Source organism: Homo sapiens, chromosome 12 (assembly GCF_000001405.40).
Source record: "Homo sapiens chromosome 12, GRCh38.p14 Primary Assembly".
Taxonomy (NCBI): domain Eukaryota; kingdom Metazoa; phylum Chordata; class Mammalia; order Primates; family Hominidae; genus Homo; species Homo sapiens.
The window spans coordinates 106,719,163-106,732,676 of record NC_000012.12 but is presented as its reverse complement, the minus strand read 5'-3'; the positions used below and the strand labels follow the sequence as shown (position 1 = coordinate 106,732,676).

The following is a 13,514-nucleotide window of genomic DNA, read 5'->3' as shown; positions in this document are numbered from 1 at the left end:
CCAGGCTGGAGTGCAGTGGCGCACACTCGGCTCACTGCAACCTCTGCCTCCCGGGTTCAAGTGATTCTCGTGCCTCAGCCTCCTGAGCAGCTGGGACTACAGTTGTGCACCACCACACCCAGCTAATTTTTTGTATTTTTAGTAGAGATGGGGTTTTGCCATATTGACTAGGCTGGTCTTGAACTCTGGTCTGAAGTGAGCTGCCCGCCTTGGCCTCCCAAAGTGCTGGGATTGCAGGTGTGAGCCACCAGACCCAGCCCACATGCCCACTTTAAAGAGGAAAAAGACATGATTGGTTTGATACCACTTAACCTGTTCACCATAACTAAATTCTTTGAGATACAGAGTTAAAGAAACATAAAGCACAGAAGTAAGGATACAAATAACATTACCAAGTGGTGCAATTCCCAGGAAAATGCTGGCTTACCAGTGCTTCCTTCTCCCTTCATGGCTCGCATGAGCTCATTGGCCCGCTCCTGACAGTGCAGAGATTCTAACAGGTAGAGCACGTAGTCATCAAACATTAAGTGAATTAGGTGAAAAGACCCTGGTGAAAAAAAGGATCAAACAGAAAGTAAGTCGTGCTGTCTCGTGTATGCCCCCTCTGTCTGGTCAACTGCACAAGTTACACAGTGTTCTAAATGCTCTGCTCAAGAGTCTAATTTTCCACTCAATTATGATCTCCTCATGGTCATAGGTTGCAGTTCTTGGCTGTATCCTCACCTTAGCCTAGTGCTTGGCATAAGGTAAGTGTCATTAACACTTTGTGGCAAGTGAATCTTTTCCTTGCTGAAGTTATATCAGTATGACACCATCAAAAATGGCACCCACCGAGCCATCTCTGAGCTCTTGCTTACCCACTGGCCTCATCCTCATGTGAGCACCGCTCACTCTCTTCGGCATTTATTAACATAGTGTCTCTCATTTTTATCTCTTCCACCAGCATATTATTCCCCCAATTGGACTTTAAGTATGTCCATGGCAGGGACTTTGCCTTGTATTGCTATCTACTAATGTACCTGACATAATTCTAGGAGCCAATTTGAAAATTTAAATCTGCAACAAGTTATTTACTTATTTCCCTAAATGTTTTCAAGACCTCATTTAGCACATGGTTCTTAGAAAAGGTAATTCATTAAAAATAGTTGGTCTTTTCAAGTGGCAGTCTTCATTTTTCAATTTAGAGTAGATTATTTTGTAAAAGGGAATGTGAACAGTCATTTTTAAAGACTTTCCTATATGCCAGTCTCTGTGCTCAAAGTCTTATCTTCTCTAATTTAATAACTACAACCATGTGGCAAGGTGGGTATTTTTATTCTTATTTTGCAGGCCAAGCACTTATGCAAGATGACACGATTAATAGATAATACATTATTTCAAAACCAGCTTTTTTTTGCATGTCATGCTGCTACCATGCACAGTGGAATGGTGCACCTTCGGTAGGGGCTCAGTTAATGTCTACTGTAATCAAGGCCTCATGGACCCAGGGTCAGAGAGAGGGGCCAAGCCTTTATCTCCCATCCCATGTTTCCAGGTCCCAATAGGACATCTCCATGTAGATATCCTGCAGTCCCTTTAAAATGTCCAAAACTTCTCACCTCTCTCCAAGCTGACCAGTATACTGTTTGCTTTTTTCCCATTTCCTTCTAGTTTGCTTTTTTAGAGACTTTTTTTTTTGAGACGGAGTCTCACTACCTTGCCCAGGCTGGAGTGCATTGGCGCTGTCTTGACTCACTGCAGCCTCTGCCTCCCGAGTTCAAGCAATTTTCCTGCCTCAGCCTCCCCAGTAGCTGGGATGATAGGTGCGTGCCACCATGCCTGGCTAAGTTTTGTATTTTTAGTAGAGATGGGTTTCGCCATGTTGGCCAGGTTGGTCTAAAACTCCTGACCTCAGGTGATCCACCTACCTCGGCCTCCCAAGGTGCTGGGATTACAGGCATGAGCCACCACGCCCAGCCTTTTAGAGACTTTACGGGACTCTCTGGCATTATTTTTTTTGTCATTCTGTCTTCATCATGGATCATTACCATCACCATTATTATCATCATCACATCTACTGTTTATTGAGTGTTTACTCTGTACCAAAAACTCTGCTAAGCACTGAACATATGTTTCTTCCTTACAACAAACTGTGAGGTAGATGGTATTATCCTCCCTTACCGATGAGGAAATGAGTCTCTTCATTAGTAATCAAGTAGGGATTTGCCTCAGTTTGGTCTGGCTCCGTAATCTGTTCCCATTCCCCTATAAGTCATTTAGTTCAATATGTTCATAGCACAGATGAGAAAATAAGGCCCAGATGGCATAAGTGACTTGGCCCCTACAGGGGCCACTTGAGCTGGGAGCTAGGTCTCTCCAAGTCTCAGACATAAGGTAGTGGAGGCTAGTTGGGGGCTTGTGGAGCACTCCTTGGTGAAATTTATGTATTTTCTCCTTAACTGCACCTGGCTTCTGTATACACCCACACCCTTCATCTCAGATCAGTTAATTCTTTTGGTCTAGAAAGGCTAGAGAGGAAGATCCCTGGCTTAACTGTAAGGCCACTAGATGCTCAGCAGGTCATGAACATGACCCCCTCTCTCTACAGCCTGCCATAAACTCCTGTCCTTGTTCCCACAGAGCTCAAGGCCAAGGTCCACTGTCCTGCACCTCCTTCACATCCTTCTTCCATCTCCAGTACTATGTCTGTTTTTCAATGCCATTTGGTATTCAGCAAAGTCCAGGTTCTGCTCAATCACTGTGAGATGCAGTCTCTAAAACTAAACTTTCCAACTGTTTCTCTGAAATGGGATCCTGTGAACCACTGAGGAGGTACAGCACTGTGTGGGTAATTACATGCGCTGTTGATCAAACTGCCCAGGTTGAGATCCTAGCTCTGCCACTTAGTAGCTTAGACTTTAGATGAGTTCCTTTACCCTCCCTAATCCTTATAAATACTGAAAACAAAATCTGACATTTATTGACCTCTGCCTCTGTGGCAGCCACTGTGTAAACCACCAGAGATTTATTTTGGCATTTAATCCTCATCACAACCATGTGAGATAAGTGATACTTTCCTTTTACAAAGGAAGAAAGTGAGGCTTAGGGAGGTAAAGTAGCTGTCTAATGTCACACAGTCATTAAGCGGCAGAACCAAGACTTGAACCCTGGACTGTCTGACTCTGAAGTTGCTCCTCAATCGTTATGTGCTACAGCTCTCCAAAAGGACAGTAAAATGTACATTACAGAAGTACTAAAATGAGTAAAAGTGTATATTAGATGCTTAATAATTGGTAGCTATTATTATTATTGCTAAGATCCCTTTTGCTGCTATGTTCTAAGATCTCATGACATGATTGTTTTGTTCATAGAGTCAAACAAGTCAAAAGATAGCATCAAATAAGGAAAGGGTCTCCAAAATGAAGAAATTACTTGCTGGGATGTTGATCTAAAGTCAACATGGATAGAAAGAGAGAAATGTACTATGAAATAATGAATTAGCATGGAAAGCTTGGATGATAAAAATCCAAACCAGTAGTTTTAGGATGAACAAACAACTTAGAAATCATTTTATACCATTCTCTTGTTTTATAAGACAAGGAAACAAAGATCTGATGAGGTGAAGAAACTTGCCTAAGATTACTCTTAGAAAACATCAGAGCTGAACTTGGAAGCCGGTACTTTAGGGAAAGTGCGGATTTGACATGGGCCTTCAAGCTCTCTTCATTAATGCCTCTGATCAGCTACCAGTTTGTCTGTTAATTTTCCATTCTAAATTTTAATCCTTCAAACAACAAGAGTTTGTAGAGCTACTGCTACCTGCTTACCATTGTGCTAAGTGCTCTGAGTACAAAGGAGGCATAAAGCTCAGTCTCAGACTCCACAGAAGCTAAGTGTTCTTACTAAGCAGAAATTAATCATTAAGATTATTGGGCAGTAAACAGTTCATTGCCAGAGTGTCGCAGCGATGAGGATAGTGAATATCGATGAAGACAGGAAAATGAAAAGGAGATACAGAAAGACTGATGAGAGAGACAGAGAGACACCAAAGACAAGAGGAGAGAGGCAGTTACAGCGAACATCCCACTTTATTTATCTCCTTAGCATTTCTCACCATCGAAGTTAAATACTATAACCTGTATTTAACTTAATTGTTATTGCATGCCTCCTCCACTAGATTGTAAGCTCTATCTTGCAGAGATTTTTCTGTCTTGACCAGTGCTTTATACCCAGTGACTACAACATTGCCAGGCACACAATAGAGACTCAATGGATATGTGTTAGATGTATGAATCAAATAGGCAAGCATTGACTACTTCCATATGCACCGCGCTAAGTAAGCTCTTTTAACTTCTCAACAACACTGCAAAGAAGGTATTATCTTCAGTTAATACATGAGGACATGAAGGCTCAGAGGGCTTGAATAACTTGCTTAAAGTCACAGAGCTAGGGAGCAGCAGAGCCTGTTATGGAAAAAGGCATTAGGATTAGAGACAAAAGGAGATTTTATTTTGTTATTGTTATATGGTAATATAGTTGATTGCATTTGGTAGAATCAAAGCATTTCATCTTTCTTATGAAAAATATGCATCATAGAAAAATATAGAGAATTCTAAAATGAACACCAGTGTAATCACCACCAATTTTTTGTTAGAATTATTTCTAGGTACATTTTAGTTTCTTTTGCTATTATGAATTGTGTGAATGTGTATGTTTTAAGTTATATTTTCGAGTTAGTGAAATTAAGAATGCCAATGATTTTATAAAAACTGAATTCAGGGCCGGGCGCGGTGGCTCATGCCTGTAATCCCAGCACTTTGGGAGGCCGAGGCGGGCAGATCATGATGTCAGGAGTTCGAGACAAGGCTGGCCAACATGGTGAAACTCCGTCTCTACTAAAGATACAAAAAATTAGCCAGGTGTGGTGGCGCGCACCTGTAATCCCAGCTACTCGGGAGGCTGAGGCAGGAGAATGGTTTGAACCCAGGAGGCGGAGGTTGCAGTGAGCTGAGGTCGTGCCATTGCACTCCAGCCTGGGCAACAGGGCAAGACTCTGTCTCAAAAAAAAAAACAAACTAAATTCAGTAACTTGACTGAATTCTCATTGGTTCTATTAGTTTGTGGATTCTCTTTTGCCAGCAATCATGACATCTATAAATAAAGACAATTTTGTGTTTTCCTTTCTAATTCTTCTATTTCATTTTCTTTTCTTAAGGCATTGGCTAGGACCTCCAGTACATATTTATTAGATATCATATTAGAAGGCATTCCTGTCTTTTCATGATAGAAATGGGAAATTTTCTAACATTTCGCCATTAAGTGTGATGTTTGCTGCAGACTTGTAGATGCCCTTTAAGATATTAAATTCCCTTCTATTCCTAGTTTGCTAAAAGGTTTTTTAAAAACCATACCTGAGAGCTGAAATGTATCAAATGCTTTTTTTCTCTGTATCTATAATGATGATTTTATGATTCTTCTCTTTTTATTAATATAGTATGTTAATTGGTAATTTTTCCTACTAGGATTTTTGGCATAGTCTAATATTGATTTAAAAAATTTTGCCACTAAATTTGATCTGCTAGTGTTTTATTTAGAATTTTTTTCACCTATGGAAAAAATGTGTGTAGGCTGGGTGTGGTGACTCATGCTTGTAACCCCAGCAATTTGGGAGGCTGAGGTGGGTGGATCACTTGAGGTCAGGAGTTCCTGACCAGCCTGGCCAACATGGTGAAACCCCCTCTCTACTAAAAATACAAAAATTAGCTGGGCGTGGTGGTACACACCTGTAATCCCAGCTACTTGGGAGGCTGAGGCATGAGAATCGCTTCAACCCAGGAGGCGGAGGTTGCAGTGAGCCGACATTGCACCACTGCACTCCAACCTAGATAACAGAGTGAGACTCTGTCTCAAAAAAAAAGTGTGGTTGAGTCATAATTTTCTTTTCCTCTGCTTTTCTTGCCAGATTTTGAAATCGAGATTATGTTAGCTTTGTAAAATGAGTTGTATATTTCTTTATTTTGAATGTAATTTAAAAACTAAAAACTAATTTGTGTATGTGTTTTAAAAAGTTAAAAATAAGTTCTAGGTAAAAATATAACACGAAGTAATGAGAAGAGAATCTTCAAGGAATAAAGTATGCTAAGGTCTTTGTCTTTTTTAGGAATACTAAGTAATTTTTGACTTCATTGGAGAAATTCATAGTTTGGATTTAATAAATGTTTAGCATATATGTTAATAAATTAAGGTATCATTACTAAAAGAATACAATCATTTCCTTATTTTGCGGGGGCAGGTCAAACCATTTTATTGAAGGGAATGAGGTGGGCAAAGCAGCACTGAGGACAATGAGATCAGACATCCTAGGCTGGGCCAGGATGTCCTAAACTTTGCAGTCACTGAAAACAGATTTTCTTCTTCTTTTTTTTTTCCTTTTTTTCTTTTTTTTTTTTTTAGATGGAGTCTTGCTCTGTTGCCCAGGCTGGAGTGCAGTGGCACGATCTCAGCTCACTGCAACCTCTGCCTCCCGGGATCAAGCAATTCTCCTGCCTCAGCCTCCCAAGTAGCTGGGATTACAGTGCGTGCCAACATGCCCGGCTAATTTCTGTATTTTTAGTAGAGACGGGGTTTCACCATGTTGGTCAGGCTGGTCTCGAACTCCTGACCTCGTGATCTGCCTGCCCGCCTCATCCTCCCAAAGTGCTGGGACTACAGGTGTGAGCCACTTCGCCCGGCCTCTTCTTTTCTTTTATTCTTTGAAATATTGATTTTCATGTTTATTTTCATAGACTAAAGATTTTACATTTTTTATAAGTTTAGTTAAACTTGCCTATAAAAACATTTATGCCTAATTTTTTTTGGAGGAAGAGACTTTCTCCTTTATTGTGATTATCATTTGGTCTTTATTTCTACCATGCTATTTTGTGCTTTCATTTACCATCCATTTTCTATGCTTCTTTTATCTTCTCAATTCTTCTTTTCCATTTAACGTTTTGTCTCTTAAGTTTTCATATTTTTCCATTTTCCTCCATAAATCATGATTGTGTTCTTTTAGTAATGATACCTTAATTTATTAACATATATGCTAAACATTTATTAAATCCAAACTGTAAATTTCTCCAACAAAGCCTAAAGTTACCTAGTATTCCTAAAAAAGACAAAGACATTAGCATGCTTTAACTGTTCCTTGAAGATTCTCTTCTCATTACTCCATGTTATAGTTTTACCTAGAACTTATTTTTAACTTTTTAAAACACATATACAAATTAGTTTTTAGTTTTTAAATTACATTCAATAGTTAATTAAATATGTTTACATATTTTTAAATTTCTTTCATCTTAAAACAGGGTCCCTAAATTCTTTGATGTGCCGTCCATTAACAATTGGGGTCTGTGCGCCTCCTTGACTCATGGTAGGCTTGGGACTGCCTTTGACCAATAGAGTATGAGGGAAGTTACACTGTATCTAAGAAGGGATCATAAAAGCAAAGTGACTTCACATTTGGGGCACTTGCACGTGGAACTGTGAGCTGACACATGATCCTGACTTGCAAAATCCATAAACATAATAAAATGGTTGTCTTAAAGCCATTAAGCCTAGGTAATTTATTACACAGCAATGGCAACAATAACTAGAACATTGTTGTTTCTTGTATTCTAGACCTCAGCTATGGCTTTTTTTTTTTTTTTGAGATGGAGTCTCACTCCGTCACCCAGGCTGGAGTTCAGTGGTGCCATCTCGACTCACTGCAACCTCTGCCCCCGTGGGTTCAAGCGATTCTCCTGCCTCAGCCTCCCGAGTAGCTAAGATTATAGGCACCCGCCACCACACCCGGCTAATTTTTGTATTTTTAGTAGAGACGGGGTTTCACCATGTTGTCCAGGCTGGTCTCAAACTCCTGACCTCAGGGAATCCACCTCCCAAAGTGCTAGGATTACAGGTGTGAGCCATCGCGCCCAGCTGAAATGCATCCTTTAATAGTTTTTTGTTGTTGTTTTTTTAAGTGAACATCTGTGGGTGCCAAATTCTGTCTTTGTATAACTGATTATGTCTTTATTTTGCCCTCACTCTTGAATAATAGTTGACAGTTCTTTGTTCTCAACACTTAAAAGATATTACTCCATTGTCTTCTGGCATCTCTTACTGCTCATGACAGTCTAATAATTATTCTTTTCTCTCATAGCTTTAAATTTTTAAATCTTAATCCATGGATATTTTAAAAATATTAATACCATCAATGTGGATTAAATAAATTTTTCTAGCTCTATTGTGGCATGCATCTGAGCCCAGAGTATTTGCCTTAATTGTGATAATCAAAAAGGAATGGGCTTTGCGGTCAGGCAGGTTTGATTTTGAAACAGAATTCTGACATTTGCTGCATTGATCTTGTGCAAGGAAATTCTCCAAGCTCCCTTCTCACCTCTTTAGAAAGTGTCTATTATTACCTACATTGCAGAGTTAATGCAAGAATTCAATGATAGTATGTGCTTCCAAAATATTTCTTATAATAGTCATCATTATCTTGTCTTTGCTTCATTCTTATCTCTAATGTTAAGCAAATCCTTCAAGTACTACCTCAGCTTCCTGGTCTGTCATATTGAGGGCAGTAATTCAGACCTCACGGGGTTGTGTGAGAAGTAATTGAGAAAATGTAATGTCTAAAGTATATTCGGCCCTCAATACATGTTTCTGTGTTGTTATTAATTTTCTTTTACCTAAAGAAAGGTAAATGAGGTGGTGGCAGTGTAGCATGGCAGAAAAAAACTCCAGCTTTAGCATGGGAACAATTGCGGGTTGAATTCAATCTGCCACTTCCCTGAGTCCACACGCAAGTCCTCTCTTCTCTGGGTTTTTACTTCCACTCCTGACTACAGGGAAAGCAATTCCTGTCTCTTAGTGCTTGGTGGGGGCCTGAATGACATTGCGAACATTAAGGTCCTGCAATTTAGCAGATTCTGTCTAAAAGAGAGCTGGGCCAGGCCATCTAAGCATAGAGAAGCAGTTGGGAAGGCTTGGTCATGGCCTCTTGTTCTGGGAGCCGCTCCCTGACACATGCCCACATGGTCTCCCCAGCCCTGCCCAAGTGAGTGAGCTTTGATGCTAGGTCAGACAACAGGTGTGTAAAAAAGTGAAACTGTGGAAGTGTTGTGCAATTGTGCCCCTCAGCTGTCACACCCAGGCTGCTTTATAAACTGATATATGCTGGAGTACTTCCGGGAACTATTATTACCTTCCAGATGTTCATAACAGTGAGATAAGCAGGCATTTGCTGAAAACCCAGAATGAAAAGGTAAAGGCGCTGGCACCAACTTGAGATCTAGGTACTCTAGGAACTGAAATCAGATCAGTCGACTAAAAAGATGGTGTTTTTTAAAAACAAAACTTTGATTTGCTCTGCTTCATTAGGACTAAAAGTTTGCCTGATAGCCTACCTTTGGTAACTAATTTTGCTAGAAACACTGCTTGCAGCAAAGAAAGAAAGTCTGGCTACTTTAGTTCACAGCATAGGTTCTTTCAGTGAAAAAGAATTAAGGAGAAGAGAGTGAAAAGGAATTAAGGAGAAGAAAGGAGTCAACTACCTTTGAAAGAGGCTGTTCTGGGAAGAGGTGATAGAGTCCCCTACAGGATCATTGTGATATTCCACACGATCATTGTAATGGTCAGCCTGCTACGCTGACACACAAACCCTGTACCCATTCACAGCGACAAGGACCATGTGGGAGTTATAAGATATATAGAGCTGGCCCCTGTGGCTGGGGGAGGGGACCAAGGAACAGAGGGCTCTTTTTCCTAATTAGCTGTTTTCATACAGGGAACACATGACCCAAACACAACCACCAACTGGGTCTTTGACATATATAAGCAGAAAGGGGGAGCTGGGCTTTTGTCTGCTGCAAACTCTTTTAACTTGCCTGTCACCCCAAGCTGCAAAATTCAACAATGAGTCAGATGAGCTGGGCCATTTCAGATAGTTTGCTAAATGGACTTGGAGACAGGTATTATTTCAACCCACTCAGGGTTGAGAAATACTGTAAAACTGAGACTGGGTTAATATCTCTTTTTCTCCTTTTCTAAGTGATTTGTGATCATCTTTTTTTGCCATTTGCCTGAGTTTCCAGTATATCTATCCCAAAAGAGTGTGTGGTTCAAAAAGAAACACATTTCAAGGAACCATATTTCTTAGTAATAAATTCAACCCATTCATAAAGCCTAATCATTCTCCTGCTCAAGCTTTCTTTTTTACATTGACTGTTAACTCAGTAAGCACAGATGAATTTCAAAGAATATTGCAAGGGAATTACTTTCCCTGTCTAATGAAAGGCACCTGCTACCATACGTGGTCAGTTTAAGAATAAGCAAATTGAAGAGTAAAGGATAAAGCATGGAGAGGATGCTCGCTGTGTGGATGTGGATATGTGTGTTTGTGTGTGATATTGTTGATTCTCTGACTTGGAAGCAATGAAGAAATCTCAAATATTTTCCAACAGTTCACTTAAGGGAAAACAGTTCTGCATGAATGATTTTTCCAGAGCTAGAGGTAACATGTGCTAACACTAACTGTGCTGAACTGGAAGTCATCAAAATGCCATGCCTGATGGCACTGCCCAGGTAGCAGTCAGCAGAGCATTTCCATATACAGCTCAAAGAGAATTTCCATCTGTAGCCATGGTGCAGGCAGGTTCAGAGAACCTTCCAATGCTGAGATTAAAGAAATCCACAACAAAACACTTCTCCAAGTGGGTAAACACAGTCTTTCATGGACAGGGCTGTTTAGAAAAAATAGTGCCTTCTTTGTTTTCCCACATATTTACTTCGTTGTATAGCACAACTGGAAAATGGTGACAAGACCATAAAAAGCTAGATGGAAAAGTGTCAAATTAAACCCACAGCAAAACCCAGAGCTGATTGGCTTAATTGGAGATAATGAGAAACAAAACCACAACCCTTACTTGCAAAGGGAAATAGAGAACTGAAGCAATTACCCAGAAAATTTACCAATGCCCCTTTGCCGAAAATGCCTAGAAAATTGAAACCAAAATGTTTTGGGATTTCAAATGTCTGGATAATGCCTAAAAGTCCCATCTCAGTTTGCCAATGATGACCTGGACTCAGTACATACTGCTTTCTTTCTGGTGAAAAGTAGAAAACTGTCCTACAATGTATCATAACATTCACCCCGATTCAGTAATCAGGTTGCTGCCCGCAGAGACTGTTATCAGTACCTTTGGGCAGAGATTTCAAGCCCTGTTATACTAGAAAGCAGCAGATGAAGACTTGAGGTGGGGATATCTCCTGGAGGTGATGAAGACTTAAAGGGTCAGTGAAACAAAAGGGAAAGTGAATGCAAATGCCCTCTTTTAGGGATTAGACTAGAGTACATTTTTAAAGAAAACTTAAGGTCATCTGCCCACAGCAAGAGTATGGTCAATCAAGCCATTTGCAAGTGTTCAAACTCAGAGGTTTCTTCATGTGCCCAGTCTTGGGAAGTGCACAAATACGGGATTCTATGAAATTGTGCTTTGGAAGCAGCAATCACTGGGAACATCTAGGCATGGGGAGTACAGCCACTGCAATTTATTCTTCTTTAAGCTCAGATAGTACTATCTGTGGGCAAAACCACTCATTTTCAGATTGATACTCCACCTTTAGCATGTAATGCCATCTCTCTCCCTGAAAGTCCTAACAATGTCATGTCTCCCCAGAAGAGATGTGTTTCAGGGTGATGACCTTGCAGAAACAGCAAGTTAGACTGTGGTAGATTCCTCTGGGCTCCGTGCCCAGAGGAAAAAGTGCTTGGAGATGGGGAGGGCTGGGGTGGCCTTACCGAAGCTGGGGGCGCTGTGCAAGGTCATGTCCCGGATCACCCTTGTGCCGAAACAGGACCACATCAAGAGGAACTGCTGGGCCACTTTCTTCAAGGACCCTTGTCTCTTGGCAGCCACCTACAAGAAAGTAAATGGCTTTAATAGTGGTCGACTTGACCTTTCATTTATTACTGTCTCTTTGAAAAATGAGGCCGGTTGAAGTGGCTCACGCCTGTAATCCCAGCACTTTGGGAGGCCAAGGTGGGCGGATGATCGCATGAGCCTAGGAGTTTGAGACCAGCCTGGGCAACGTGGCAGAAACCCCATCTCTACAAAAAATACAAAAATTAGCTGGGAATGGTGGCACACCCCTGTAGTCCCAGCTACTCAGGAGGCTGAGGTGGGAGGATCACATGAGCCTGGGGAGGTCAAGGCTGCAGTGAGCTGTGATCGCACCACTGCACTCCAGCCTGGGCAACAAAGTGAGACCCTGTCTCAAAAATAAATAAATAAATACAGAAAAATGACAGGAAGGCTTATGGTCTTCAAAGTCAATGCTATGGAGCAATGGTTTTTGTTTTGTTTGTAGCAGCAAAAAAACTTTAAAAAATGAAATCTTATACCAAGACTCAGTGTATAGAGCAGATAAAAGAGATGCTGACCTGGTTGAATCAGGGATGGAAGACTCAAGAGTCCTGCCTCCTGACCCCTCCACCTCCTGGGGCCTCTCCTCAAAACCCTGTTCAGATAGCTTACCATAGGGCTTTGTCTTGGCCAAGTTCACAGAGGGCAGTGGTGGGCTGCAGGGCCCAAGGCTGCCCGCTAGGTGCCGGTTTACCAACCTTCACAACACAGCGGTCAACCATGGTATCCAGCCACTCAATGTAGGACTCGATGGGAGACTGCTCCTCCAAGAGATGGTCAAACTCCTGATATACTGTCAAACAAAGGAGAACCCCACACGCATCACTGCAGTTGTATTTAACAAGAGCTACGTCTTAAAAGAACAGAGGAACAAAACTTTGAATAAAGTAAAACTTTAAATAAATAAAACTCCAAGGTCTTAGCAGAGCATTCAAGACTTTATAAAACATGCCCCAACTTACCTTTCCAAGATCATCTTCCATGCCTGTGAACATGTTAAACTGTGGCTATCCCATATTACTTGCCATTCCGCCAGCAAGCCCTGCTTTTTTCATAGCCTTAGTCTTTTTTTTTCAGGCTTTTCCCACTACTTGGTTCCTCATGTCCCAGCTGAAATGGCCCTGGTATGAAATCCCTTTAACCTTCCATGCCCCTTGCCCGCAGAACTGATCACCCCTCCTCTGCACTCACATAGCACTTTATTATCGGTTTTCTACCTTTATTATATGACTAATGGCACTGTGGCATAGTTGGGTGGGCATGTGTGTCTCCCTGCTAGTTCTTTGTCTGATATCTTCATTAGCTGGTGCATTATCTGTGACATAGTTGTTACCCAACAAATTCTTGCTTGAATTAATGGGTGAGGCATTGCTGCTCTCTTGCTCTCTGCCCAGGGTAGGGCACATGTGATAATTCAAATGTTTCTGGACCACAACTGTATCAGGCAAGCAGCCTCTCTGTGTGGCATGTAGTAGGTGCTTAATAGATACTTGTTGAGTAAGTGAACCAGTCTCTCTGCCCCTCAGTTTCCTCATTAGAGAGATAATCCTACCACTTTACAACCTGTCTTCACTTTAAGTCAGATAACTG

At 41.1% G+C, this 13,514-nt stretch overlaps 1 protein-coding gene and 1 long non-coding RNA gene across 4 annotated transcripts in view; one reads left to right on the top strand and one right to left on the bottom strand.

Moving 5' to 3' along the window:
* The window catches only part of LOC100287944 (uncharacterized), a 278,422-nt gene that overhangs the window by 42,155 nt on the left and 222,753 nt on the right, over nt 1-13,514 (top strand). The gene's annotated exons all lie outside the window — the stretch shown is intronic.
* RFX4 (regulatory factor X4) overlaps nt 1-13,514 on the bottom strand; it is a 179,800-nt gene that overhangs the window by 30,127 nt on the left and 136,159 nt on the right. For all 3 annotated transcript variants that reach the window (NM_213594.3, NM_001206691.2, NM_032491.6), the window contains 3 exons: nt 12,623-12,717; nt 11,801-11,918; nt 428-547 (listed from right to left, as the gene is read on the bottom strand). In NM_213594.3, coding sequence (NP_998759.1) covers nt 428-547; nt 11,801-11,918; nt 12,623-12,717 — 333 coding nt within the window. The remainder of the gene's footprint in view (nt 1-427; nt 548-11,800; nt 11,919-12,622; nt 12,718-13,514) is intronic.